Source organism: Homo sapiens, chromosome 15, assembly GCF_000001405.40.
Source record: "Homo sapiens chromosome 15, GRCh38.p14 Primary Assembly".
In the NCBI taxonomy this organism is placed as follows: Eukaryota; Metazoa; Chordata; class Mammalia; order Primates; family Hominidae; genus Homo; species Homo sapiens.
The window spans coordinates 92,877,804-92,905,388 of NC_000015.10; the positions used below are offsets into that span (position 1 = coordinate 92,877,804).

A 27,585-nucleotide genomic window follows, 5' to 3' on the forward strand; every position below is an offset into this window, starting at 1 on the left:
CCTCTCCTGTTCTCCTTTCCTTATGGTTTTACGACTTAAAAAAAGAAAGAAAAGGAATAGAAAAGAAAATCTGTTTAGTGCAGTTTTGGGATAGAGCAAAATTAGTAGCATGCATGCTATCTGCCATCTTAGCCTGGAATCCACCCATAGATATACACATAGCTAGCTGCCTCCTTTGTGCCCTTCCTGCCTCAACTTAAATATTACTTCCTCAGATCAGTCTTCCCTGACCACTCAACCAAAATTTGGCTCCCATCGTCACAGCACTTATTACTACTGGGTATTTTCTTTTTTTTTTTTTTGAGATGGAGTCTCACTCTGTTGCCTAAGCTGGAGGGCAGTGGTGTGATCTGGCTCACTGCAACTTCCACCTCCCAGGTTCAAGTGATTCTTCTGTCTCAGGCTCCTCAGTATCTGGGACTACAGGCTTGCGCCACCATGCCCGGCTATAGGTATTTTCTTGTGTATTGCCTTTCCCCCCCTCTAGAATATAAACTCCATGAGAACAGGTACTCCATCTCTTTTGTCCATGCTATAACCTCAGCTCCTAAAATAGTACCTGGCACATGAAAGAAACTCAATAATTGTGCTTGGCAATGATATTTTGAGAATCAAATGATCTTCAATGCTGTGTGCGACATAACCTGTGCAAAGCAAAGAAGGACTACCACACGTGAAGGAGCAGAGGGTATACCGAGCATAAGACAGAGCCTGCGTTCAAGTTCTGCAGAGTATGAGGAGCAAGAGAAGCTGCAAAGAGCAGGAGCAGAACAGCAGGAATCTGGAAACGCCTGCACTTGAAAACCGTGTCCTTGGTTTGAGTCAAGGTCATCCTAGGTTTCTGCTGCGCCTCCAAGATAAGCTCAGCTGACAATCTAAAGGAGACACCCCAAAGCAAAAGGGGACAGGGAGGAAGGGAAGCAGGGGGAAAGGCAGACCTTGCTGGCGTTTCTGCCTCTCCTTTAATTGCTATTAGAGGAGTGGAAGGCAGAAGAAGGAAAATAAACCTGTGAAGCTTCGGGGAAGCAGGGAGGACTGTGGAAAGCCCTGTTCTATTGCTGAGCTGTGTGAAGTCATGTGACATTTGGAGTGGAAGCTGCTGTCTCCCATTCTATGTACCAGGAGTCCTTATTATCAGCCAGGTGCACCTTAGATGACGTTCACAGCCCTGGAGGTACTGAGTTTCCTGTGACCTTCACTTCATTTTAAAAAATTACAAGTGTTTACTGTAACTAATTCAGGCAATGCAGATTCTTATGCAGTAAATAAAAAAGTTAACCTTTCTTTCCAGTAGTGTCAGCTTTTAGCTCAGCAGATTGTTTAGTTTCTTTGCTTTTTTCCTTCTATCTTGCCTTCCCTCCTAAAGATCAGCACTTTGGGAGGTTGAGGTGGGAGTGTTGCTTGAGGCCAGCAGTTTGTGATGAGCCTGAGCAACAAAGCAAGACCTTGTCTCTACAGTAAAAAAAAAAAAATTAGCCAGGCATGGTGGTGCATGCCTGTAGTCCCAGCTACTTGGGAGGCTGAGGGCTGAGGTGGGAGGAAGGATGGCTTGAGCTCAGGAGTTCAAGGCTGCAGTGAGCTATGATCTTGCCACTACATTCTAACCTGGGTGACAGAGCAAGAACTTGTCTCCAAAATAAATAAATAACTTAATAAAAATAAATTAATTAGGGCTGGACGTGGTGCTTCATGCCTGTAATCCCAGCACTTTGGGAGGCCGAAACGGGTGGATCACTTGAATTCAGGAGTTCGAGACCAGCCTGGACAACACGGTGAAACCCCGTCTCTACTAAAATTACAAAAAAATTAGCCAGACATGGTGGTGCGTGCCTGTAATCCCAGCTACTCGGGAGGCTGAGGCAGGAGAATCTCTTAAGCCCCAGAGGCAGAAGTTGCAGTGATTCGAGATTGCACCACTGCACTTCAGCCTGGGTGACAAAGCAAGACTCTTTCAAAAAAAAAAAAAAAAATTAATTGAAGAAGGCAGTACATTCACATGGTTCAAAATTCCAAAGTCACAGAAAAGTAGAGTAAAAAGTGTCCCTTCTGCCCCAATTCTGTAGCTACATCTGAGGCAACCAGTATAAACATATCCTTGTATCCTTCTAGAAATATTCTCTGCCCAGCCAATTTTTTCACTGGACAGTATTGAATAGTAACAGAACTACTCAGAGCACATGCACAGGCCTTTCCTTTAAGTGAGCCAAGGCTAAGGGTTTGGCTCTTCATCTTCTTTCCCAAAGAAATGGTAGTCACAGGAGTCAGTGTGACTTGGGGGTGGGAGGGATTTCCTCTTGGTTCTCTGGCAGATCACTGAGAGTGAAAAGGAGCTGTGGAGGGGGTAGGATGTGGTCTGCCAGGTGTCAGGTCTTTTTATTTACAATAGAACTCTTCTTGCTGTAAGGAGGGATGACTGAAGAGATGGTATAGCTATGGCAAAGGAAATCATAGCTGTCATTTGTGATAGCAGACAAAGTTTCAATAAAGGGCCTTCTCTAAAGAGGACATCGTGTGGGATGTAAACTTGGGAAAAGAAAGCTATTTTATGTAAGTCGCCCAAGGTATCTCTTCATACAATTGAGCCACTCCAAAGCTGAATCCTAGGGGTCCAGAAATCAAAGGGGGAGCAAACAAGAGAGCTGGAGGGCTCCCAGGTGGCATCAGGAGATTGACAGCAATGGGGTGGGGCGAAGCCTGGGGATTCAATTAGACTGGATCTCATGTTTGATTCTAAAGGTAGAATACCTCCAATGAAGCATAGGAGGGAGGAGCCGGCAAATCTGGAGGATCCACACAACAAAAGATCCAAATGACCTATTCAGCGAAGGGACAGTTTTTGAAAGGAAACTGGGAGAGGCCGAAGGGTCTGAAGGCAAATTATCTGGGCTAAAATACTTCTTGGTAGTGTGAACCCGGGCAAGTTACTTAAACTCCTTGAGCCTCAGTATCCTAATAGGGATAAGACACAGAGAGGGACGATAACTGTCTCTCATTGGAGTGCAGTATGATCAAGTTAATCCCCAATGAGATTTGACAACAATGTCTGGCACCTAGTCAGCTAACTCAATGCTTTTCAGCCATGACTGTTTTAATAAATGCCTGCTTAGGTCTGTTTCCCTGGCATAGACATACTCGGTGATGAATCTGTAAAGGCACAATCAGAGAGGGATTTCAGGTTGTAATAAGAGGGGAAAAATGGAAGGAAAAGGGAGTGAACAACAGCACAGCAAAAACACAGCAGAAGAATGAGGAAAAAAGGATTCAGAATGGGGCTATTTCAGCAAAAACAGCCTTGTTGCAGGTCCACCGTGTCCAAAGCTACACTGTGTAAGGGAATGTCTCTTGGAAATTAAATGTCTCTTGGAGAAAATTTAATTTCAGTTGAAGAAGTATTTTGTGGGTGTGTGTGTGTGCCTACTTAGAGTTCAAAGTATACTGCCAAGGAGGGTGGCCTGGTTGCATACAAGGAAATCAAGATCTATAAAAAGTCAGGAGACTTGGGATCAAGTCCTAGCTTTGTCCTAAGTGGCTGATGCTACACTGAGCCAAATCAATCAACAACTGTGTCATTTTAAAAAGCGGCCAGACTATTTCCTAGGCTCTACATGTATGTAACATTTTCTGATGCTAACCCAGGGGCAGAGGCTCAAAAGAACTGAAGAGTTGTTTCCCTCACCCCTAAGCCCCTCCTCTAAAAAAAAATCCGGTAAAACTAAGCATCTGGTGTTCCTTTCATTTTCCCCAGGTCCCCTGCCAAAAGGAGCAAGATTTCTAAATACCGGCAACGGGAGAGAGCTACCTCTTTTTTTTTTCCCCATCCATTTCAGGAAAGTTTAGGTTTTCATTTTTTTCCTATGGTCTTCTTAGAGTTGTTTCCACGTTAAAGTAGGAAGAAGTAACGAAAAAAAAGTGAGATTTGCCGAAAGCAAATGAAACTTGTTTTGCCTGGTTCTCTGGAAGGAGGTTGAAAAGGTAGACTATGATTTTTCAGGTTCAAACTGCTACTCTAACAAACATTGTCCTACAGGGTGGAATCCAGTCAACCGGTATTGAGATTGATTCGCTAAGGCCTCAGGACACTGGACATTCTTTTTAATTGTTTTTTTTGATTTCCATGACGACAGCTCACAAGACACTAGACATTCTTTTAGGCTCTCAGGTAAATGCGCAACAGGCAGTCTACAAATCCACAAATAAATCGCATCTCAACTCGGATACTGGGGCTAGGGAATGTGCTGATGGTAAAACCATTGGTCCTGACTGTGTGACCTTCATGGAAGGCCTGGGTGCTTAGAACAAATATTTTGAGGATATGGCTGCTTGCCCAAGGGCTGTGGGCCTGTATCTTGTTTGCTCATCATCCTGTCAGTCATTTTTTTCTTTCCCTTTTTTTAAAGACAAAATCTGAACCTAGAAACACCGAAGCCAGAGCTTTTTCTAGACGCGAATCCACTATTTGTGCGACCCTGCACTAACCATTCTAGCCTGGCCTAGACCATACCAGGAACCCTCCAGCTAGCCTGGAGGGGTCCGCACTGCGGGGAAAAAAGCAACAGCTCAGCTCCAACCCCAAAGGTTCCATCACCAGCCAATCGTGGCCCGGGGCTTCTCAAGAAAACCAGAAACGCCTACGGACAGTGAATGGCACTAAGGCCAGCCTATCCGCACGAAGGAGGCGGAAGGGGTGGTGTTGAAATTAACCAATAGAATGGAAGAAGTTGTTGTTGGGAGGGAGGAAGACGCCAGCTAACGTGCGTGAGGCCGCTCCCGGATAGGGGATGCAGGAAGCTCGTGGAGCCAATGGCCGCGGCGGGCGGGCGGCGGCGCGCGTGCGCGTTGGCCCCCGGGCCTGCGGGCGGGAGGCGGGGATGGTGGGGGAGGGGAGCGGGCTGGAGCGCGGCGGAGCTCCTGCCGCCGCCGCAGCCGCTGCCGCCGCAGCGAAGAGGCCATGTTGTGTGGTGTGTGGGGCGGGGGGAGGAGGAGGAGGGAGTAAAGCCTAGAGAGGAGACGGGAGAGAGACACCACACACACGGCACAAGATGGCCGGAGAGGCAGCAGCACCCCGAGCTGTCAGGCGTTCCGCCGCGGCCGCGAGGCCCGCCGGCCGGCGGGGAGCTACGCCCGGACGGCCAGCAGGCCCGCGGGAGTGGGGCTGCCGCGGCTGAGGCGAGGCGGGCCGCGCGCGTCGGCGTCACAGCCCGCGGCAGAGGCGCCCAGGGCGGCCGGGCCCACGACGCCGAAAGCGCCGCTGCGGTTGCCGCCTCGGAGGCTCCCCCGGGCCCCGGCGGCTGGACCCGGCGCGGGCGGGAGGCTCGGGCGGGCGGTCCGGCCCGGGACTCGGGTTTGGGCGACCAGGAGGTGCCGGTGGCCGCGCTCGGACCCGGTGAGTGGCTCCCTAGCTCCTTTTATTGTCCTTTGTCCTTGGGAGGAAAAGCAAAATGTCCTTGAGCGCGCGAGCAGGAGGGGGCGGCGGGCCGGGCCTCGCCGCTCGGCTCTTCTCGCACTGCCCCTCCGTGGTCGGGGGCCGGCTCTCGCCGGCGGGATGCGCCTCGGTGCCCTGGGCCCGAGTCGTAGGGTCCTGGGGTAGGGGGCACGCGGGGCCCCGCTGCAGAGCCCGCGGGCGGCAGGTGGGCGGGGGGCAGCCTCGTCGCCGGGACTGGATCCGCCGGGAAAGGGGCGGCGGGTGAATGCCGGCGAGAGCCCGAAGGGGATCGGGCGTGGAGAGCCCCTTTCTGTCCTGGTGAGTTATTTTGATATTTAGGGTAAAAAAATCCCTTTCAGGTTCTCCAACGGAGGAGCTTTTTAACCTCTTTCCGGTGAGGTGGGAACTCATCTTCATGATCGAATTTAAAAGAACAATGGAACCCTGACTACGTTTCAACAAAAATAAAACTTGTTTTTTTCCCTCCTATTGGGTGTTGGCTTTTAACTCTTTCAAAGCCGATTTTGAAACGGCTGCAGTGATACATGCGAAGGTACTTGCTGCTTATTAAACCTTTATGACGTTAAGGTTGTCTTTGAAAAATGCAAGTTGGAGGAGTGCTTCTGGTATTTCAGAATTACGAAGACAAGTTTACTGTGTCGTCAAGGCTGTTTAATGGAAATAGATTTGATAATTACGGTGCTAGCTAGCTGATGACGTTTGGTTAATGTAGTTTATTTTACCGAGTAATGACGCCAAGATCATTTGATCTCCTGATATTTAAATATGATTAAATACACTGTTTGGTACTTTTTAAAAAGGTCTCAAGGAGCCGTTATCTGCAACTTCTCACACCTGAATGTTAGAACGTACTTGGGTCAATTCCTAGTCTTTAAAAGTTCATAATTTAATTATTTTTAAGAATTTATATTATCACAAGCCATGATCGAAAAACTTTCACAAAAGAACATTCTGACACCAAATCTCTTCCTGAAGTTACTTTCTCGTAATGTAAATATGAATAAAGTAGGACTGCTCTCGGTAATGGGCGATGAAGAGGAGCCATATTTGTTGCATTTGTTGCATGTATAAAAATCTAGATATGCTTAAAACGGAACAGTATTTTAAAAGTACAGGTTTCATAAAATTTAGTAGAGTTCTCTGTATAGTCTCTAATCTTAGAAAAATGTTGGAAGGGTAATTTTTAAGTGTAGTGGTTTGAAGAACAAACCAGAAGCGCACAAACCTTTGTGTATTTTAGAATATATTTGTCTTCATTCTGCGGAGCTCTTGTGTTGTAAAGGTGCAGAACTACGTAAAAATAGTGTTGGGCAGACTTACATAGTACATCTGAAATCAGATACTGGTTTATTCGACCATATTTCTAAGGGCATTTTTCCAGTAAAATTGTTTTATTTTTTGAGTAGCCTTCCTATAGTGGTACATGTTACATCAGTTGCGCATATCTTGATTTTACAGAATCTGTCTTAAGTACCAATTTTGGTTTTTCAAATCAATGTTTCTGAAATTTTTGAACACTGAAAGTGGTTTTAAATGAATATTCTGAATCTAGTTCTTTAGAATCCTCTTTGAATTGTGAAATGCAAAATAATTGTTAGCAGTTTAACCTGAAAGATCTTTTTACATGATAAATGGGGGAGGAGAAAGACTGAAATGAAAATGTTGAAGACCCTGATTTGAAATTGAGTGTAAAGGTCTAGATACTGTAAGTTTTAGAGTAGCTTTAGAGACAAAGCTAGTATCCCACTTGGTGAGATCAAGTAACTTGTGGTTTAAAATTTAAAGTAACCAGTGGCCATTTTAACTTCACTAATTTCTCTTGGAGGAGCTAATTTTTAATTGCTCATGATTGTAAAACATACTTCCGGATGGTAAGGGAGATGTTAAGATGATTTGTCTTGAAGAATGGTAAACTTTTTCTTTGTTTATTGCCTGTCATAAAAAGAGGGAAAGTAAAAAAAAAAAGGTTCATAATCTTAAATCAGTCCAAAAATTTGAATTTTCTGTATTTCTGTTTAATTCAATGCGTTAATCTTTAGCATTGGTCAATACAGCCAAAAGATGAGGAAAACAAAGACTGATAGATACTAAGATAAGAAATAACTGCAACCATAAATGTATACAGGTTATGTGTCCATGAGCCATCTCTTCAGTTTGCCCATAGATTTTTGTCTGTGGAATATTTTCTTGTTTCATCACACTGAATCGTTGGCCAAGAAATGCTTGAAAATCAAAACATTAATATCATCTTTCTTCTTTTTTTTAAAGGTGACTTAAGAGATTAAAATTAATTTGGTTGCTGTTGGTTCTGAACAAATAATGAGTTCTTTTATTTGAGGTAAGAGTGGGTTAATTTTTATTGTTTTGACAAAAATTAGCTTATTAGGCTTTTGTTTTATCTTTAATAATTTACATTTCAATTAATGAATGGGTATCATTTTTAAAAGTTGTGATTATGAATATGAGTAAACTATCAAATAATTTGACAAAAGCCTTTAAGCCTTTTCACTGCAGGAAAGATTAAAAGTATATACGCATAGCCATTGTAACTTAATGTACCCTTTGAATAGTTTAAAATACTGAAGGTCCTTTAAGCCTTTGTTTAATTTTGGGAACAAGAGAAGACTGATTAGATTTTGAGGAAAACCATGAACCAAAGATAGCTTTTTTTTTCTGTTTAACTCTGTATATTGTGCAAACAATTTTAATCTTTTAAGTATTTAAAGAAATAAGCTTATTGGAGAATTTGAACTAGTTTGCTATTCATACTGATAGATTTTAGGGAAGAACATTTAAAAAATCAGGTTTTGAGCATAGATTTTAGTTTCTTTTTTGTAATTAAAAAGTTTAAAAACACTTATTTTTACTTGCTATTGTTTGCTTCATAATTAAGTTTAGAATCTTATTTGTTTTCACCAAAAGGTATGCCATTTTGAAGACTGAGACGTTGGAGTTTTATCCTAGAGGATAAAGGAAATCTTTGGGAAAGTCAGTATTTTATATAGCAAGTAAGTAAATGTTTTTACCCAACATCTGCAATTGAATAGTTACCAACATTTAAGTAGAAAAATACCATTAAAGTTTGTTAATGAAACAAACTGTAGACTACTTATCACTGAAAGGATGAGAAAACCATCAAATTTCTTTGCCTGACATTGAAAACACTTCTATTACTATCAAGACAGTCGATGCATGTAATTTATATTGGAGCAGGAAGACATTTAGTACTTCTTAATAAAATGGTGCTTTAGGATTGTGGTTAAATCTGCAGTAAAGTCATCAAGATTATGTTTTTACAAATCTGGTATATACAGTCTTAAGCCTTTTTTTTTTTTTTTTTTTGATTGTACAAATCACATTTTAGGAATGGTCTGGAATTTTGCATTTGCTGATCGTAGGATTCTTAACAACATTTCAAAAACTAAATAGACACTTTCATATCTTAGGCATTTAATAGATTTAAAATACTCATTTTAATTGTTTTCATGAGTTTTCAAACAGGTCCAAAAATGTGTTGTTTTCTAGGAAATGAGAGTTAATGCATCTAAAGAGTCCTCTAATTTAATTGCTTAGTAATTGCTTTTAAAGCATGAAAGATAGAGATAATTTTCACGCGCAGTAGGTATTGGGCCCCCAGCATACCATGTATATCACACTTTAAAATCTTAAAGCTAGATACGTGAATTTAAAAGAATGTCCACTGATGTTTTTAAGGAAATATGCCTTTTTTGTAAGTTAACGTTGAATCTGAAAATTAATGTCAAGCTGTTATTAGCGATTGACTAGAGGAAATACGCGGTATAATAATGGGTATCTTGGGAAAATTTAAGAATCGCCAAATGACCAATTAAAATAAGGGCAAGTTTACCTTTTCTTCAAAATTTATGTGGAAAATAAAATACAGTCTTTCAATACTTGGTGTTGGCTTATTCCATTGATTGAAATAGGTGGTAAGAGGAATATTTTTATTGCCTTTGCTTCAGCTTAACTTCTTTTTAATCCTTTTTTGCAGTTCGATCAAACTTGGGTGTATTACAGTGTGCAAGAGAAAACTAAATGTTTGACTTTTAACTGTAGTGTTTTAAAGATACAACATTTACAAGAATAGTTGAAACATCCCTCACTTCAAAACTTCTTTAACACAAATGCCGAGATTAGGGTTTCCTCTGTGCAATTGATGTGATATTAAATTGGCATTCCTGTCATTGGGCACTGTTAAGGAAATTGAGAAATGGGTCTCTTATGTGAAGCATAATCTGTGTTTAAGTATAAACAGGCAATACATTTATAATGGCCTACGGAAGGTGTAATTTGATTCATAAAAAAGAAAACAGCTGGAAAGGGCTAGAAATGTTAAATCAAAGATTCACATGTACTTAGATCTTTGTTACTGCATATATTCAGTGTTTTGATACTTAACTGCTTGAGCCAATCTTGTATAATGAACCTAATTGATTGGCACATGAGGGCAAATGTGAATGTAGATAACTATTATAGATAGATAATATTATATAAGATAAATATAGTGGATCATGTAGATATGATATTAAAGTACTATATTTTATAAGGAAGGTGGATTATTGTATATTTACCACTGTTTTCTGCTTAAGAACCAAGGTGATACTTATATAATTGTTTTTACCCTAGCATTTTGGGATAATTCTTGAGTCATAAAAATCTCCTGATCAACTTGGTGATTGAATTGGATTGCATTAGTTCTGATAGAAACTGTTTAAAAAATTACCTGACATTCTATAGAAATGAAAGGAGCCATGCTGTGTAATCACAAGGCTTTCATGACATGACATTTATAGATTATATGAAATAGGTAATTTCAAATGTAAATTTTAAGTTTTATTTACTATTAGTCATCGTTTTTTGATTATTTAAAAATTTGTACTATGGACAACTAATTAATTTTACTTTTTATCCTCTGAGATTTGATTGTGGAGCGGCATAAGGGGGAGAAAGATAAGTTGAGGACGTCTCTTTATCTTTTGTTAATCAGAGGTGGTGATAGAGTGGAAAATATAACACGTTTCGGCATTCAGGAGACCTACCTTCCAATGTAAATAAGCCCTTGCGGTCTTGATATTTTATTCCTTTTGTACCTTCATCTCATAATCTGTATGAAGACTTTAGAGTTCCAAGCTCTTAAGATCCCTATTAGCTCTCAAATTGTGGGATAAAAATAATTGTTAAGGCATGCCTAATACTCTTATACAGACTTTGTAAACTGATTTCAGAGAAGCGATTAAGGAATTGTACTGTCTTTAAACAATATTTAGAATGCTTCAGTAAAAGCATTTTTAAAAAATTTTTCTAATGATGTAGTAAATGTACCTAATATAAAGTTAAGTGGTTTTATTTAATACTTTTCACCTGACCATGATTATGTTATAAATAAGAGGATTTATAGTTTGCATGCCTGATATAATCTATTTAATTTCCTTTACAAAATTTTTGTACATGAAAGATAAATGTCTTCATTTTACCAGCTACCTCCTTCCAGATTGAATGCTTCAGTGCACTTTGATTTTCAAATTGGCTATTATTTTTTAATGTAATTAACCTTCACAATTTAAATTGAAGGATATTCTGATCCTTAGGTTATAAATATGTGACTTGATGGTTTATGTAACATTCAAGTAGCATGTTTTCTATAACAATATGATAAAAGTTTTGATACATACCTTGTATGTTGCTTGACAGATCTGTTTTAGAAAACATTCCTCTGCCTTTTGAAATGAAGCCATGTATTTGAAATTATTTCCCAAACAATTATATCTTAAGCGTGTGCTACATAGTAATCATAGTCATTTTAATTTAGATTATAAAGCTATATTTTAACTTTGAGGTTTGTGAATTTTCTTAGACATATTAATGACTTTATAGTTAATGGTGCTCTCAGATTTTATTTTTAAGTTAAAAATTTGCCAGGCGCGGTGGCTCACGCCTGTAATCTTAGCACTCTGGGAGGCCGAGGCAGGTGGATCACGTGAGGTCAGCAGTTTGAGACCAGCCCAGCCAACATAGTGAAACCCCCATCTCTACTAAAAATTAAAAAAAAAAAAAAAAATTTAGCTGGATGTGGTGGCACGCGCCTGTAGTCACAGCTACTTGGGAGGCTGAGGCAGGAGAATCGCTTGAACCTGGGAGGCAGAGGTTGCAGTGAGCTAAGATCCACACCACTGCACTCCAGCTTGGGCAACAGAGCGAGACTTCATCTCAAAAAAAAAAAAAAAAAAAGAAAAAGTAAAAAATGGTTTTAAAAACCAAGTTTTCTAAGAAAAGCATAAATGACTAATGATAATATGACAATTGACTAAAGCTGTCCTTACTGTTTGAAAGAACAACAACCAAAATATGTATATTATACCTGTAAGTTATTAAATCTGAAACTATGATATTATGAAATAGGGTAGGTGGAAATACGAGCAAAATCATTAACTTTCATAGTCTGCCTAAGCTGAATTTTGCTCCCTTCTCCTGTCTTTCCAAGGATGGCAAAGTGATTTTAGACTTTGTCAATTTTGGTGGTTAGTAATTTTTGTGAGTGATGCATGGGGAAGGAGATGCTATGGTAGATTACATTAGTGTCTAATTCTTGTGATGATGCAAAGTGAGATACATTTTCTGTCTTTGGTGGTGTGAGAACCCTATCTACTGGTAGATAACTTACTTATAAGCACATTATCAGAGCAGTGTGAGGGATTTCCCTTAGACATTTCTTTTACCGAGATTCCTTAAGTCACTTCTGCCCTTCTCTTAAGGGTTTACTTGGTTTACGATTTGTCTGTCTTCACAAAACCCTCTGTTACTTATAAGGTCAGATTAAATTTGGAAGATCAGAAATATGTTGTGTTCCTTTTAAATTGCTTCATTTGTCAATTTCTTGGGAAGATAATTTAGCACCTACTCTTAGAGCAATTTTGAAGCAGATCTTTGCTATATTTCTTTTTTTTTTGTTTGAGACGGAGTCTCGCTCTGTCGCCCAGGCCGGACTGCGGACTGCAGTGGCGCAATCTCGGCTCACTGCAAGCTCCGCTTCCCGGGTTCACGCCATTCTCCTGCCTCAGCCTCCCGAGTAGCTGGGACTACAGGCGCCCGCCACCGCGCCCGGCTAATTTTTTGTATTTTTAGTAGAGACGGGGTTTCACCTTGTTAGCCAGGATGGTCTCGATCTCCTGACCTCATGATCCACCCGCCTCGGCCTCCCAAAGTGCTGGGATTACAGGCGTGAGCCACCGCGCCCGGCCTGCTATATTTCTTGATTATGATCTGTCCGAATGACTAAAGGAATTTAGATTTGGGAAGATAAACAGGGACTTGCTCTATAATTTGAAAATTAGTCCTAAAGAAGCATTTGGGTAGCATAGTTTTAACTAAAATCCTAAACTTCGTTGCCTTCTAAAAACCTTAAATTGCTACATTTTGTTTTTGTTTTTGTTTTTGGAGATTGAGTCTTGCTCTGTTGCCCAGGCTGCTGGAGTGCAGTGGTGTGATCTCAACTCACTGCCACCTCCGCCTCCCGTTTTTAAGTGATTATCCTGCCTTAGCCTCCTGAGTAGCTGGGATTACAGGCGTGCACCACCACACTTGGCTGAGTTTTGTATTTTTAGTAGAGCTGGGGTTTCACCATGTTGGTCAGGTCTCGAACTCCTGACTTCAGGTGACCCACCCAGCTTGGACTCCCAAAAGTATTGGAATTACAGGTGTGAGCCACTGCGCCCTGCCTATTTTCATATTGAACTTTTAAATAAGTTTTCTTTGTGGTGGTGGGATGATTATTGTAATCATACTTGGGAACAGAAGTGATGAAAAAGGTATGTTACTTGAGATATGGGAAACGCTATTTTCCATGTTTAGTTATGGGGTATTCAAGTCTAACTAGTGGAAAGTATGGATACATTTTATTTATTTTTTGAGACGGAGTCTCGCTCTGTTGCTCAGGCTAGAGTGCAGCGATGCGATCTCAGCTCACTGCAACTTCTGCCTCCTGGGTTCAAGCAATTTCTGGCTAATTTTTGTATTTTTAGTAGAGACGGGGTTTGACCATGTTGGCCAGGCTGGTCTCAAACACCTGACCTCAAGTGATCTGCCTGCCTCCACCTCCCCAAGTGCTGGGATTATAGGTGTAAGCCACCGGGCCTGGCCGGATACATTTTTATTATCAAGTATATATTTTAGGAATGATTAGTGTTGGTTTAGTTGAATAGATTGGTACAATTAGTAGTAATTTGAAATGATGCCTATGGTTTCCTAACATTTTGTCTTAGTGTTGATTAAAGACATAATAATGTGAAATAATATGGTAATACTAAGGAATGAGAAAGTGGCCTTACAGGTGGGCAATGTAAACTTTCCTGTAGAAGGATTGAAAGTAAATAGATGTAAGACTAGAAAGTGAAACAATTCTGTACTGTAAGAGCAATGTTGGCTGTGTTAAATAACTCGTTCCCAAACATCAGATCCACCTGGGGAGCCCAAATATTTACCTACATTTTTGGAGTTCTTAGGGGCTGAAACTTACGCTTGTGATTTTGTAGTAACCTATTCTAGAGAGGAGCCAAATTTGTGATACTCAAGAGCTTGTATGATTTCTGCTTGGACTGTATTGTTAATACATACATACATCTTTTGGTCTATTGGCAAATGACCCTTGCAAGATGTTGACATTTTGGGTATAAATCATGGTGCTTAATAATCTGTTTTCATTTTTTATGTATAAAATTAAATTCTTTTTGTCCTCTGCAGAAATATGAACCTCAAACTGAATCCTCTAAAGGCCCCATACAATGAAGTAGACATTGGTGGAAACATTTAGTAAGTATTATTCAATTTACATGTTTAATCTGTTTAGAAATTTTAAATACTACTTTGGAAATTTTGAAAATTCGAGTCAGAATTGTAAAGAGGGATTTAGTGAAACTCAACACAGTACAAGAAAATCAACATGGAAATTTCGCTTATTAATTTACTCCAATCTATTATTTTCTGCTTTCTTCACTTAGGCAAGTTAAAATGCAAACAAACCCACATTTGAACATACCTCTAACACTATTATAAACATGGATGTTGCTAAATGGTTCCTCTTTGTTTTTGTAAATAAAGTTTTATTGCAGCACAGCTATACGCTTTCATTTAGTTATTGTTTGCCGCTGCTTTCTCAGTATATAGCAGCAGCAAGCAGAGGAGTTCTATTGAATGGCCTACAAAGCCTAAAATATTTCCTGTCTCATCTGTAGGGAAAGTTTATCCTAGGTCCTACAGCTTTTCCTTTTGTCAGCATTGCCTTAACCTGTATAGAACTCAGAAGCCCTTCGGTTCTCTTTTGGTAATAGAACATAATTTTTAATGATTTCCAATATTATAATTACTTTTAATTAATTAATTTTGAAGTTAAACTTGAAAGCCCAACAAAAAGTTCTTTAGCCTGATTGTCCCTGAAGTTATGCTTTGATGTTAGAAGACATGGTTAGCACCTCTGAAATAGTTTTTCTAACAGCCTGAAAAATAGTTGGAAAGAGTTGATGGGAAGGTTGTATAAATGAATTTTGGTGAATTCTCAACATGATTTATTTATTTTTATTTTATTTTTCGAGACAGAGTTCCACTGTCACCCATGCTGGAGTGCAGTGTCATGATCTTGACTCATCGCAACCTCCGCCTCTGGGGCTCAAGCGATTCTCCTGCTTCAGCCTCCAGTGTAGCTGGGATTACAGTCACGCACCACCATTCCCAGCTAATTTTTGTATTTTTAGTAGAGATGGGGTTTCCCCATGTTGGCCAGGCTGGTCTCGAACTCCTGACCTCAGGTGATCCACACGCCTCAGCCTCCCAAAGTGCTAGGATTACAGGTGTGAGCCACCGCACCTGGCCAACATGATTTATTATTGACAACCTTTTTGGTAATTATATATTAGCTACTTCATAAAAATAATTTTTTTGAATCATATTTGGGAATCTAGATTTTAGATGATAATTTTTGCCTATGGCTACTTTAGCTTGCGTTGTGTAAATGGCTGCTAGGGCCTGCGAAATAGATTTTATTTTTGGAGGGGGATTTGTTTTTCAATACAGGATGATGAAAGAGATGAAAACTTTTCTAATATAGTACAATAATTGGCTGTGGTCATTTTAAAGGGATCAGTTGCATAGCATATAGTAGATGCTCAATAAATACTTAGTGTATCAATATGGCTTCTGTTAAACATTGTTTATCAGCTAGTGTTTTGGATTTAATTTAAAAACAGTGACATTGACTATTAAAACATGTTTTAATGAATTAAATATAAAATTGTAGGTATGCCTGAAAGCCAAAGTTTTGACCAAGTAAAAATTAAAAGTGACAAGATTTCATTTTTTCTCTGCAATTCTCAATCTCTTAGTTTGCATATATAGTCAACTTTTAAACCATTGAGGACGGTACCGGAATATTTGATTTGATTGTAAACCTTAAATAAGATGACTCCTTTTCTTAGTTGTCACAATTGACATTAATTTTATAGTTAGTTTTTATGCCCATAAGACCCAGACTTGTTAATATATATTCTACTGAAGATTCAAGGTATCTTGGTAATAAGTCAACATATGTGAATTTACTTCTCAGGGCTTCCTTTTTTTTTTTTTTTCCCCTGAGACGGAGTTTCACTCTTGTTGCACAGGATGGAGTGTGGTGGCGCGATCTCAGCTCACTGCAACCCCTGCCTCCCGGGTTCAATTGATTCTCCTGCCTCAGCCTCCCCAGTAGCTGGGATTACAGGCATGTGCCACCACGCCCAGCTAATTTTTGTATTTTTAGTAGAGATGGGGTTTCACCATGTTGACCAGGTTGGTCTCGAACTCCTGACCTCAGGGGATGTGCTGGCCTTGGCCTCCCTAAGTGATAGGATTACAGGTGTGAGCCACCGCACCCAGCCTCTCAGGGCTTTCTTGCATAAATATTTCCACATTTAAAGACAGTAGACGAAGATTGAAATCATCATAAGCACCAAGAATGTTAATTACATGATGAGAAGGATGAATTTTTGCTCTAGGTAATTTTACACCTGTTTGTCCCATCATTGACTTTGAAATAAGTGTTTTAAGTTTTAAAATAATTTGTTGCATTAATAATAGTAGCTTTATGATAGCCATCCATTAAGACAATTAGGAATCACTAATTTCTTTTTCCTTATACTACTCTCTGCCCCTGCCCCCCGCCCCATTTTTCTTTGCTATTAAAAATGGGAAAAGTTGCTGAGAAGTAGAGGAAAGGAGATGGTTTATTTTAGGAGAGCCCTTGTAAACTCAATCCAGATGGTGAATCACTTACCTGTGTATCCACCAACAATGTATTTTATCATGTCCCAGTGTTTTTGGAACAAATTTACTAAAGTAGAATTTAAAAAGAATACCAGGCCAGGTGCAGTGGCTCAGGCCTGTAGTCCCAGCACTTTGGGGAGGCTGAGGGCAGGTGCATCACAAGGTCAGGAGTTCGAGACCAGCCTGGCCCACATAGTGAAACCCCGTCTCTACTAAAATTACAAAAATTAGCCAGGCATGGTGATATGCGCCTACAGTCCCAGCTACTTGGGAGGCTGAGGCAGGAGAATCGCTTGACCTGGGAGGTGCAGGTTGTGGTGAGCCGAGGTTGCGCCACTGCACTCCAGCCTGAGGAACAGAGAGAGACTCCGTCTCAAAAAAAAAAAAAAAAAACCTTAGTTGGGTGCAGAGGCATGTACTTGTGTTCTCAGCTACTGGGAAAGCTGAGGTGGGAGGATCTCTTCCACCCAGAAGTTTGAAACCAGCCTGGGCAACGTAGTGAGACCTCCATCTTAAAAAATAATTAAAAATACAATGAAGAGAATACCTCCATGTTCAACTTTATGTTCTTCTGGATGTATGATAATGCGGGAATTTTAAGGGGTAGTAGTTACTCATTGAAGCTTTGTTGCCATTTAAGTTTTTACCTTTGCTGTGGGAATGGTACTCTTAGAACATGCACATTATTTTGAAAAGGAAGTATAAACTAGTGAATATCAAAGGGGAAAAATTTTGTTAACCATTTATATTATGAGCTTGAAGGTTATATGTGAAATACAGAAAAGATCTAGGTTTGTCTGATTATGGAATTCTAGATCAAAACATGTCTTCCATGTCTGCAGTAATTCACAAGTTACTGGAAAGGAACATGTAGAGGGTTTTGATATCTAAACCCTACCCAGTTTTCTGTAGGATCTTGATTTTATTTTAATGCAAGACTGCTGACCCCATGATCCTGTGTGTTCTTCAGAGATACTCTTACTGATGATGTATAAATGAACTTTGATTCAGTAAGGTCAGTTTGTAGGTCTCAAAGTACTTTGGTTATTGTGGTACATCAGAATGATAGCTAGTATTTACTGAGATCTTTCTATATGTCAGGTAATAAAAATCCTATAAAAGTATTCTTTCTACAGCCACAGGAGGTAGGTACTATTTTTATTTTACAGATGAAGAACTGTGGATTTTGTTTCTAAGAAAATTTCCAGGCTCACAGAACTAAGCCTAATTTCTTTTTATTTTTTAGCAAATACAGTTTTTATAAGAATTTGAATTCTATGAAAATAAATGGATTACTCCTAAATCTCTGATGCCTCAGTGAACACTTTTTCCTTATTAACAAAATTCTCACTTTTGGCTTTGGATTGGCTTTGCAGGAGTGCAGATTGATCATAGCTTTTTTCATGTCCTAAGAGTTGTCAGAGTTTTCTCTTGTAGCATTTTTTTCTTTACTTTTTTTTTTTACTATCTTTAAATATATGACTGTAAGAGTATGATAAATATGCTGTTTTCTAATCTCTGCTGTTGTCACATAAACTAATATATTTTGAGTAATTTTGAAATGATATTAATAATGTCATTAGATTTTCTTTGGATTTTTTGAAAAAAATAATGGTTTTAGAAGGAAATCTGGATAAATTTTATCTCTGTCCTGTGTCAGAAAAATATAAAACTTGAGTTTTTTAAATTAAGGTACTAAGATAAATAAATTGCATCTATAGATATTGAAATATGACTGTAATTTGATAATGCATTTTCATTCTCAGTGTCATTGTTCATCATAATAGTATTTACATCACCAACTTCATTTAGAGCTTGAATCTTGTAACAATAGAGATTGAAAATAAATTGGTTTATAATTAACTCTGACAGAGAATGATGTTTTTACTTTTATACTTCTCTATAGAAGTACATGTCCCTTAATTTTAAGGAATGAACAAGTCAGATGGAAGATTTTTACTGAGATCAGGAATGAATTGAGTAATTTAGTTTTCTTTTTAAAGCTGGGGAGAAATGAGCAAAATCAAGGAGAAATATCTTGCTTTTGATATTTATTACTGATGCTGTGACACTCCCTTTAATCAATGTTTTTTAATATGGGTGGCAGTATCTCAGTTAACCAAATAGTTAAGTAAGTAGATTTTTGTATTGTATATAGTAAACAGTATCCTAATTGTTGCCAAGGAGACAAGGAATTACCTAATGGGCAAAAATGCCCTTATATTTATTTACCTCAAATTCAGTCACACTTGACTGTATCTCCACAAATTCAGATGGAGAGCTGGAAAATTTATAGAGAAGACCAGGGTTTAAATCTTGTTTTTTCAAATTATGTTTGGTCATGATGAATCTGAATCATTTATTTAATGATAAAATCATCTGACTTCTCACTTCTCACTTCTCCCTTCAGTTAAAATTATTTAAGTAATGGATTTGTTTTTCTATGAGAGACATTTGGTATTTTGGTAATGAAAGTGTATTATTTTAGTTGCATATAATTTGAAAACAGCATTTTATGGCAAATCTATCAAGCCAGGCAGATACTTTGCATTTTTGATCTTTTTTTTTTTTTTTTTTTTTTGGTGGCTACATCTTTTCTGTATTCTCAGATATGTCGTTAAAGATGGTGCCACCTATAGTGGCCATTTTCGTTATCTAAACAAAACCAACATCTGTTGGATTGAAAAACTATGCTATGATCGACTGCTTTATGTGTGTATGTTTTTTTTTTTTTTCAAATCCCTTAAGATTCTTTTCTATAATTAGTTTTCTTTGAAGAAGCTTGGAAAGTTTTCTGCATTGAGATTTAGAATCCACAGTGTTTCTGTAATTTAGCTTTCCAGGAATTTTGAATTTTAATTTTTGTTTTTACTTTTTATGTACACAGTATAATGATGTTAGTGTTAAATATTAAAAATCTGACTCTTCACTGGGACTTTTTTATAGATACAAATGTATCTGTGGTAGTACAAGGACTTTGTTACTTTGGCGTGCAGTCTTATCAAGGAGTTGTGTGTGTGTTTTGCATACAACTTTACAATTTCATAGTTGAAAGCTGTTACAAAATGAAAGTTTTGTGTATGGTAGGATATCTTCAAGGTGGGTGGATGTTTTCTGTTTAAAAGATTAAGATGCCAACAGCGTTTTTTTCTTTTAATTTTTTCATCAAGCACCCAGTCAGCTTGAAGAGTTTCAAATGGACCCTACCACTGAGAAATCAAGATGGCAGTCTACTATGGGGAATTGAGGAAAAATGGATTAATACAAGAGTCCTGTGATAATATACAACCAAGACAGGGTTCTTTTAACATGGATTCCATGCAGTGAATGAAGACATAGGTTTCTTACCCAACACAAATGGACAGTGGATTTGACTTTCTAAAGACTTTTTTTGTGGACATTTTGACATTTGGAGAAGAAAGATGGCACACTAACCCAGATAATAGTTTTTATGCCTGGAATTTTTTGCAGTTTGATTTGTATGCGTATGACCTCTTGAAATGTTAATTTTTAATAAAATTTGTAACACTTAAAAATTTCTCAGTTTGGGTTTTTTTTTTTAAGTGGAAGTTTAATTAAATGTTTAGTTTTATTTTAGTAATACTTTGGCCTTTGTAGTTGCCGAGTGGTAAAGTGTACTGAATATGAATAAAGCTGGTAAATTGGAAATGGTGTAATCGAAAACATTTTACTTGGTTTATGAAGATTTACGTTTTTCACAAAGTTGTGCTCTTAGATGGTCATTTGGTTTAAATACTGTTTTGTTTGTGCTTTCATGAAACACCTTTCAAAACAACTCAATGGGTAATAATAGAATCTGATTTTAATCTGCCACAAGATTTTAATGAACTTGAAACAAACTGCTTGTTGCTCGAAAATTCAGGATGAGTGATACACATATACTTCTGAATTATTTTGTGTTGATTGAAATGGTTTCTTAAGCTTTTTAATACTATAAATACATCTTGCTATAGAATATTCATCTGAATATTTAAATTAATGTCTCCTATTGTCTTACTATTAGAGGAAGAAGTGTTGGATTTATGGGTTAGGGTCCTTGGAGTATTCACAATTTTTTAAATTTGAAATTATGTGTGTAATCCATTTTATATAACTTTGAAGTAGGATTAATATCTTGTATCGTCTTTATTTTGTACAATTGGGGATTTAGAATAAATGAATTGCACCCTGCCATAGATTACTTACGTTTGATTTTTAAATGCCAGGTTTTCATTTATTACTAATCAACTGATACCAGTTTTGGTAACTATTACAAAGGTGGTAGGCATTATTTTGGTAGACAAAATGAGTTCTTGATTCTGTTTTCCCATTTTACATGAGAAGAATAAATAGTTCAGGTTAAATTGTTTTGTGTTAATCATACTGTTTGTGATTCATGTCAAATACTGCAGCATACACATCCATGGTTAATACACGAGCACCATTTGTTATTGACTGATGTGAGGTGGTTGGTCTTTGTTAAATTCAAAAATGGAATTTTGGATATTGTTCTTGCTACGAAATTTATCTTTGTGTGTAGAGTATGGAATTGAAACAGTTTGGATTATGGATTTTACCTAGATTGGACATTGTTGATTTTGTTTGGTGTAAATCTAAAGTGGATTTCTTCAGTGAGGGAGAGACATGGTTCTGGCAGATTATGTTGAATAAGGAAAGTTGATTGGATTTTTTTGGGTGTGTGAATATGCTTGTCTGAATGGAGTGCTTGGTAGGATATTGTTTCTGGAATTAGTAATTTGTTTCTGTGGATCTCATGGTTTTGATATTTAGGAGAATTTGCTTTGTGACATTACTTTGATAATTTGCAATCACGTATGTCCTATTGTTAATAACATTGTTGAAATGGGTGTATACTTACTTGATTTGAAATATAAGGGAAGTGTTGGGATATGTGTTTTCTGTTGGATTTGGACGTGGAGTTTCTTGGGTTACTGATTTAAAGGTGATCGTGTTTGGACCATACTCTTGAATTTTTGCCTGAATCAGTATGGGAAGTAAATATATTGTGATTATGAGAAGTTTCTTTGGGGGGAGGAGTGTAATATTTTCAAGGTTATATAATGGGTTAAAGAATTTTGTGAAAGAACAAAGAAAAATGGATATTCTTGAATAAAAATTGGTTGCATTAACTTTTGCTCCAGTGCAACTTGAACACTAGGGAGGCGCTCTTGAGTTGTAAAAGTTACCCCTTTCTTCCAGTGGAGATGGAAAATTCCCCCTTAAATTTTGTCTTTAGATTATTTTTAGGCATCATAAAGAAGGAAAAACTTGAATTTATATTATGAAATTAAGGTTTTACTTTTATTTAGCAATCATTTCACCCATTGGGGGATTAATTTTTAAAAAGATTAGTACTTAGCTGAGCTTTAGATTCTCTAAGAATTATCCCTTTTTCAAAATGGCTTGATAAAACACCACTTCCTGTCCAGGGAGGAAGTTATTTTAGCTCAAGGACTGAAATATTTAGCAGATCTTTAGACAAAAGGAACAAATTACATTTCTCTCTGGCTTAAAAAGGGTGCTTGAGCCAGAGGGGGTTAAGAAGCCCTCCCCCCTCCCCCTGTTGGGGTGGTCTGGAGGGGCAGGGAGGTGTGGGGGTGGGGGTCCTTAGGCTCCCTGGGATGGAGGATCTGTCTCTCTCTCTCTCTCTCCTTTTTTTTTTTTTGGTGGAGATGAAGGGGTGGGTCTATGGTACATCACCTGAGTTGTGGGGTAAATGTAGAGAGTGTCAATCAAAGGCAGAGCTCTCAGAGCTGGGAAGGAGGCTCTAGATGGCGGCTGTGCCTTAGAGAGAGCGCGCTCTGCTCCCTGCCTTTGCCTCACTTTACGCAACTTTCCCTAACTTTCGGGCAGCCTCAGGGGGCCCCCGTAGCCCCCTGCCTTTCCTAGGGACTTACTGGGGTCGATTCGAACCTTTTTTTGGGAGAAAAGCAGCTTTTAGGAGCTTTCTTTTCGTGCCTTGTTGGAAAGAAGCAGCCGTACTGAGAGCCCAGGTCGTTGTTTTTTCCAGCTTAGAAGCCATGGCGCACCTCCATTTTTGTGCGCTCTCCTAATGAGGTTTTTTTTCTTTCGGACCTGTTTTAGTATTAATTATTGCTTTATTTTTTTGACCAGTTAACATATTTGAGGGTTATTTTATTTATTTTTCGTTTTTTAACGGAGGATTTTGCCTTTATTTTTAATTATTTGGGATCTGATATTTTTCTACTAGTAGATAGGACTCTTGGTTTGGACATACTACATGGATCAGGTAAGTTCACGATCATTGGTGATAATTTTAAAGATTTATTTGTTTAAGTTTGCCTTGTTTTCTGTAAATACGAGAAATTCTTGGATGACGCAATAAGATACAGAGATTGTTATTTGTATCTAGTGTGCTACTTTGAGAAAGTTTCCTTATTGATAGTGATGCTTCCACTGTTCGGTTTATCCTGTTGTTTTTTCTTTTAAGGAAAAAATAGAAATATTTAGTTTTTTGGTGCTTACCGTTGTTGTGTTATAACAATATCGTTAACATCGTCAGGACTTTGTTCCTGATAATAAAAAGCATCGATAGAAGCCGGGACCTTACCTTTCTTTCAACTTTTGACAGTAAATACCTGGGCACAGGACTTCAAAGCAAACACAGATTCCCCCTCCCCCTTAATATTTAAGAATTAAAAGATGATGAGAAATAAGGACAAAAGCCAAGAGGAGGACAGTTCGCTACACAGCAATGCATCGAGGTATGAGCTATCAACTTTCTTCCTTTTTGTCTTTTTTTTTGGGGGAGAAACCTCAGCTTACAATTGTTTACCTTGACAGACATGGATTGCTGTCTGTTTTATTGTGTTTTTCTAATTTGGATTCGTTTTTTAAAGCATGACCTTGAGATTGCTAATATGCCACACCCTAATTTTTTGGTAGCAATTTATGAAAGTTGAGTTGTGACTTAAGGCCTCTTACAGCAGTCAAAAGGTAAGGTACCTTTATTCAAAGGGGCCTTTACTGTAATGTACAGTTTTTCTGTCAGTAAATTTCAGTTTTTAGGTTTTTGTACTGCAGAAAAATGACCTTGTCGGTTTAGCCATTGCTGCATTGCACCATTTTACATACAAGGCAAATTTTTTCTTTGAAGAATCCAGGATATCTAAACTTGTAACTGAGGGCCATAGAGAAGCCTTGTAGTAGTAAATTATAGTAAATAGACATATCAGAAAGTTATATGAATGAAAAAATGTACATTTAAAAACAAAATCACTTAAAGGACCCTTTGACTGATGCCTCTCAGTTTATATTTTTATGTGACTTTATATTTCTTTTGATACACTTGACATTTTAGGAAATTTTGATGTGATTTATCAAAACCTTTACTTGATGGTTAGAGTTCCTGCATTTATGAAATCAAATCTGTAATAACAGAAATCCTGGAATACTCTTAATATATACTTCTATTTTGTGTTTGTTACTGTGATTAATATTTGCAGTTGTATATTTTACATTTAAATTATTTTAAGGTTTGCATTTGTATGCTTAAGACATTGATTTCCTGTTGGTAGATGTATTTTATCCTCACAATTTAGATGTAGCTGCTTTAAATTTATTGATGTATTTCGACAGAGTCGTCTGGAATGCTTTATCTTCTGAAGCTTAAAAATGTACTGTTTGTGCAAATCATGATCTGTTTCACATTCCTTGGAGTACCTTGTTAGTGATGAAGTAATAAAGCCTCTAAGATGTTTTTGTTGTATGACCTCTGTATATTAATTTTTAAAAGTACATATGAATGCATTTTTTGATGTGTTCTTTATGCATTTTCATATTATAAATTTTAAATCATGCAGTTTAACAAGGATGTGATTCATTATGTGGTTTTCCTTCCCAATTTTTACTTTTCTAATTTTTATAAATAATACACTTTTCTATTAGGCTAGTGAATTTGAAAGTTTTGAACATGATGTGTTACTAATATGCTGAATTCTATTTATTTTATTTGACTGAAAGCATATTGAGCCTTGCTTTAGAAAATAAGTTACCAAATTTTTTTGCATTGAGTTGTCACCCAGTTTGTAGTGCTGTCTTAATTGAATTGCCCATGTAAATTACTAGATTAAATTGAGGACAGAAAAGTTTTTTACTCATCCTAAGCTGTTTTTTTCTGGAAAGTAATGACAATTTGAAGAAATGAGAACCTCCAGATATATTTGGCAAATTATTAAAGATTCAGCACTAAAATTGTTGCTCCCTTGAGTGTATCATTTGCATAGGTCTCACATGGGTTTTGGCTCTCTTATGCAAGGTTTGTGGTTAACATCATTGATCAGACTGTGCTTTCTAATTCTAAAAAATTGAGCAGTGTTGGTATTCTTTCAGTATTTTTACTCTCACCTGGAAAACTACCTGGAAGTTGTCAGGCATTTGCTTACTGGTAGTGGAGGTTACAGCTGTACATGAAGCATGTACTGACTGTACTTTTAAATTGGTTTGTCAAGTATACTTTGAATCATATACCTGATGGATGTCCAAAAATATTTAAGACTCTTTGAAAAGAAGATAGTTACTTTTAAATTAGTTACCCTAAATTTCATATCTTAATACATGTACATAATTATGACATCACTTCCTTTTAAAATGTGCAGCTGTAGAATGTTAGTGGTGTTTTAATGTGGTAGATTAATATTACTTCTACTGAGCTGAACTGTCCCTGTAATTAGTACTTGGTTCCTTCTGCCATCAGAGTTTTTATTGCCCAAAGTATAGTGTTTAGGGAATACTACGAAAATCACCTTTGCAGCCTGAGCCACAGAAGAGGAAATGAGTTTGCAGGTCAAGTAAACTTTGGTCTGAGAATTACTTTAGTATCTGGAAAGAATGAGTGCAAGTTTAGGTAAATCTGGTAATACCCTGTTTTTGGAAATAGTGCAGTAGTTAATAGTGGTTATATAAGTTTGTATTTTAATTTGAAGTTAATGCTAAAGTCTGTTATACTTTATCACGATTTTTGAAAATTAAAAACTTTAAAAAACGCGATTTTAAAAACATTTGATTGATATTTGTAAAATTTCTAAGTATTTAAAACAAAGTTCTAATGATGGACATACGAGAAGTATACCATACTTTTTATCTGAATAATTTGCAGCTTGGGGATAACTTAAGTAACATCAAAGAATGAAAACGGGACTGTGTGCACACAAAGAGTTCAGTGTGTTCTCCACGGCACCACGTTAGCAATTTATCTTAAGAATTGAACGAGTTTATTAAATTTATCTCCAAATCGTCTGCCTTTGAGCCAGATTTATTTTTATAACCTGAGGTGCGGGTAAATCCTACAATTTTCAGGGGCGCTTTACCAGATATTCTAAAAGGCTGGGGATGATTAGAAATGGCATAATGCAGTTACTTGTGTACTAGAACAGGCAGTTTAACTGGCAGCCATTTTATGACGCTGATAATACATTAAAAAACGGGATTTTGGAGAAGACTGAATCTAAACTAATAGAAATCTGAAATACCAAAGCCTATTTCCTTCCCCCTCTCTGCTCTTCTGGGGAACTCTGGTGCCGACATAAAAGGCAGTTCGATAGGGCACGCAGCAGCTCTTTGAGCCCCTGGCATCTTGATGCAGGTCCAGCTCAGTCACAAAATGGCTGTTCCTTTGTGCCGCAGCGCTGACAGACATACTGCATTGCACTGTGTACTCGCCAAACAGCAGGAAGTTGCCGTGCCGAGTTCAAAGGCCGGCCGGCGCCGGCGCGGGGTGCTGATTGGCTGTGCGCGCGCCTGGTAACAGCAGGGTCAACGGCGGCGCCTTCGGCAGCCTCCGCCCCGTGACGTCAGACGGCTCCCCTGGGGGGCGGGGAGAGAACGCAGTGACGTCTGGCCGCGTGCGCATGTCGGGCGCTTTCTCCTCCCCCTACCCAGGGAGCCGCACGCCGAGGGGAAAAGGAAGGGAACTCTAGTTGGGACTTTCCGGTGGGCGGCTTCTTTCCTGGACGCGTTTGCTCCTGGCAGTCTTGTCCGCCCTTGCCTGTAGCGGTCCGCACCCTGTAGTGTGTTCTTTTGCCCATTTCCGGGAATGGTTTATCCTCTTTGAGAAGCGGCTGCTTTTGGAGAAAAAGTGCAGGCACTATTTATAAATTTTAAAGGCACTATTTGGAAATCTTAAAATAGAAAATTTGCCCAGTTTTACATTTTCCCTTTTCATACCTTAGCGTCCCTTCTCCCCGCCCCCGTTCAGTGTGAAGAGATGAGTGGGTTTAATTTTGTTACAATTGACCAAAACGTTTGAGTGTCAGAGGCGGATACTTTTATTTTAGTGAAAACCTCTTGACGGGTGTTAACAGCTGTTTAATACATGGCTCATAAACAAAGGGAAGATTATTTGAACTTGTCCCCATGCGTTTTTACTTGGTACCGTACATTTTCTCAGTTGGCATTTGATGGAGAAAAACTCAGGTCAGTATGTGCTAAGTACTATATATTTAAGATTCACAGTGGGATAGTTTAGTAGAAAATAGAAAATTTCACGTTCAATAACATTAAAAAGTGGCAGAATACAGCGTTAGGCAACCATTACTATGTAAGTAAATGTCAGAAAACTACTCTTTTAAGTGTTAATAGCACTTGCTAATGCAGGGTGACTGACAGCTTGGCTGATAGTGGGGTCACTTGGCCAAATCTTCGCAATTATCTTCCCTAGGCCTCCATTTCGGGAATTCTGAGTCCCGGTAAACGGTTGGGTTTATGCTCACTGATTTGCCTTGTTTGGAAACCTTTACAAGGATTTCTGGTTAAAACTTCATCGTTCAGCAACGATGTCTTAATAATTAAATTAC

At 38.3% G+C, this 27,585-nt stretch overlaps 1 protein-coding gene, 1 long non-coding RNA gene and 1 other non-coding gene across 6 annotated transcripts in view, besides 10 other annotated features; all 3 read left to right on the plus strand.

Annotated features, from left to right (window-relative positions):
* Positions 4,367-4,456: an enhancer, noted in NCBI's record as "active region_10127". NCBI's record gives its function as "activates an Ori minimal core promoter by ATAC-STARR-seq in GM12878 lymphoblastoid cells {active_cell/tissue: GM12878}" and the evidence as "EXISTENCE:reporter gene assay evidence [ECO:0000049][PMID:35858748]".
* Positions 4,767-4,896: a silencer, noted in NCBI's record as "silent region_6848". NCBI's record gives its function as "represses an Ori minimal core promoter by ATAC-STARR-seq in GM12878 lymphoblastoid cells {active_cell/tissue: GM12878}" and the evidence as "EXISTENCE:reporter gene assay evidence [ECO:0000049][PMID:35858748]".
* Positions 4,882-5,523: an enhancer, noted in NCBI's record as "H3K27ac hESC enhancer chr15:93425915-93426556 (GRCh37/hg19 assembly coordinates)". NCBI's record gives its function as "activates a minimal SCP1, AML or CMV promoter by ChIP-STARR-seq in primed H9 embryonic stem cells {active_cell/tissue: H9 hESC(primed)}" and the evidence as "EXISTENCE:reporter gene assay evidence [ECO:0000049][PMID:30033119]".
* Positions 5,040-20,944, plus strand: CHASERR (CHD2 adjacent suppressive regulatory RNA). Of its 3 annotated transcripts, NR_037601.1 has the most exons (6): positions 5,040-5,383; positions 5,782-5,975; positions 7,712-7,781; positions 8,366-8,451; positions 14,201-14,269; positions 19,921-20,944. It is a non-coding gene; the product is annotated as a CHD2 adjacent suppressive regulatory RNA (long non-coding RNA). The 3 variants fall into 3 exon arrangements; NR_037600.1 differs by lacking the exon at positions 5,782-5,975; NR_037602.1 differs by lacking the exons at positions 5,040-5,383; positions 5,782-5,975 and adding an exon at positions 5,493-5,740.
* Positions 5,517-5,766: a silencer, noted in NCBI's record as "silent region_6849". NCBI's record gives its function as "represses an Ori minimal core promoter by ATAC-STARR-seq in GM12878 lymphoblastoid cells {active_cell/tissue: GM12878}" and the evidence as "EXISTENCE:reporter gene assay evidence [ECO:0000049][PMID:35858748]".
* Positions 22,521-27,585, plus strand: part of CHD2 (chromodomain helicase DNA binding protein 2) — a 127,673-nt gene continuing 122,608 nt past the window's right edge. For both annotated transcript variants that reach the window (NM_001271.4, NM_001042572.3), the window contains exons 1-2: positions 22,521-23,021; positions 23,364-23,496. In NM_001271.4, the coding sequence (NP_001262.3) occupies positions 23,435-23,496 (62 nt within the window). In that variant the 5' untranslated portion in view covers positions 22,521-23,021; positions 23,364-23,434. The remainder of the gene's footprint in view (positions 23,022-23,363; positions 23,497-27,585) is intronic.
* Positions 22,540-22,609: an enhancer, noted in NCBI's record as "active region_10128". NCBI's record gives its function as "activates an Ori minimal core promoter by ATAC-STARR-seq in GM12878 lymphoblastoid cells {active_cell/tissue: GM12878}" and the evidence as "EXISTENCE:reporter gene assay evidence [ECO:0000049][PMID:35858748]".
* Positions 22,650-22,859: an enhancer, noted in NCBI's record as "active region_10129". NCBI's record gives its function as "activates an Ori minimal core promoter by ATAC-STARR-seq in GM12878 lymphoblastoid cells {active_cell/tissue: GM12878}" and the evidence as "EXISTENCE:reporter gene assay evidence [ECO:0000049][PMID:35858748]".
* Positions 26,129-27,328: an enhancer, noted in NCBI's record as "MED14-independent group 3 enhancer chr15:93447162-93448361 (GRCh37/hg19 assembly coordinates)". NCBI's record gives its function as "activates an origin of replication core promoter dependent on BRD2, BRD4, P300/CBP and CDK7 cofactors, and independent of MED14, by STARR-seq in HCT116 cells {active_cell/tissue: HCT116}" and the evidence as "EXISTENCE:reporter gene assay evidence [ECO:0000049][PMID:35650434]".
* Positions 26,190-26,369: an enhancer, noted in NCBI's record as "active region_10130". NCBI's record gives its function as "activates an Ori minimal core promoter by ATAC-STARR-seq in GM12878 lymphoblastoid cells {active_cell/tissue: GM12878}" and the evidence as "EXISTENCE:reporter gene assay evidence [ECO:0000049][PMID:35858748]".
* Positions 26,440-26,489: a silencer, noted in NCBI's record as "silent region_6850". NCBI's record gives its function as "represses an Ori minimal core promoter by ATAC-STARR-seq in GM12878 lymphoblastoid cells {active_cell/tissue: GM12878}" and the evidence as "EXISTENCE:reporter gene assay evidence [ECO:0000049][PMID:35858748]".
* On the plus strand, positions 26,596-26,672 carry MIR3175 (microRNA 3175). Its single transcript, NR_036136.1, has one exon. It is a non-coding gene; the product is annotated as a microRNA 3175 (primary transcript).
* Positions 26,650-26,889: an enhancer, noted in NCBI's record as "active region_10131". NCBI's record gives its function as "activates an Ori minimal core promoter by ATAC-STARR-seq in GM12878 lymphoblastoid cells {active_cell/tissue: GM12878}" and the evidence as "EXISTENCE:reporter gene assay evidence [ECO:0000049][PMID:35858748]".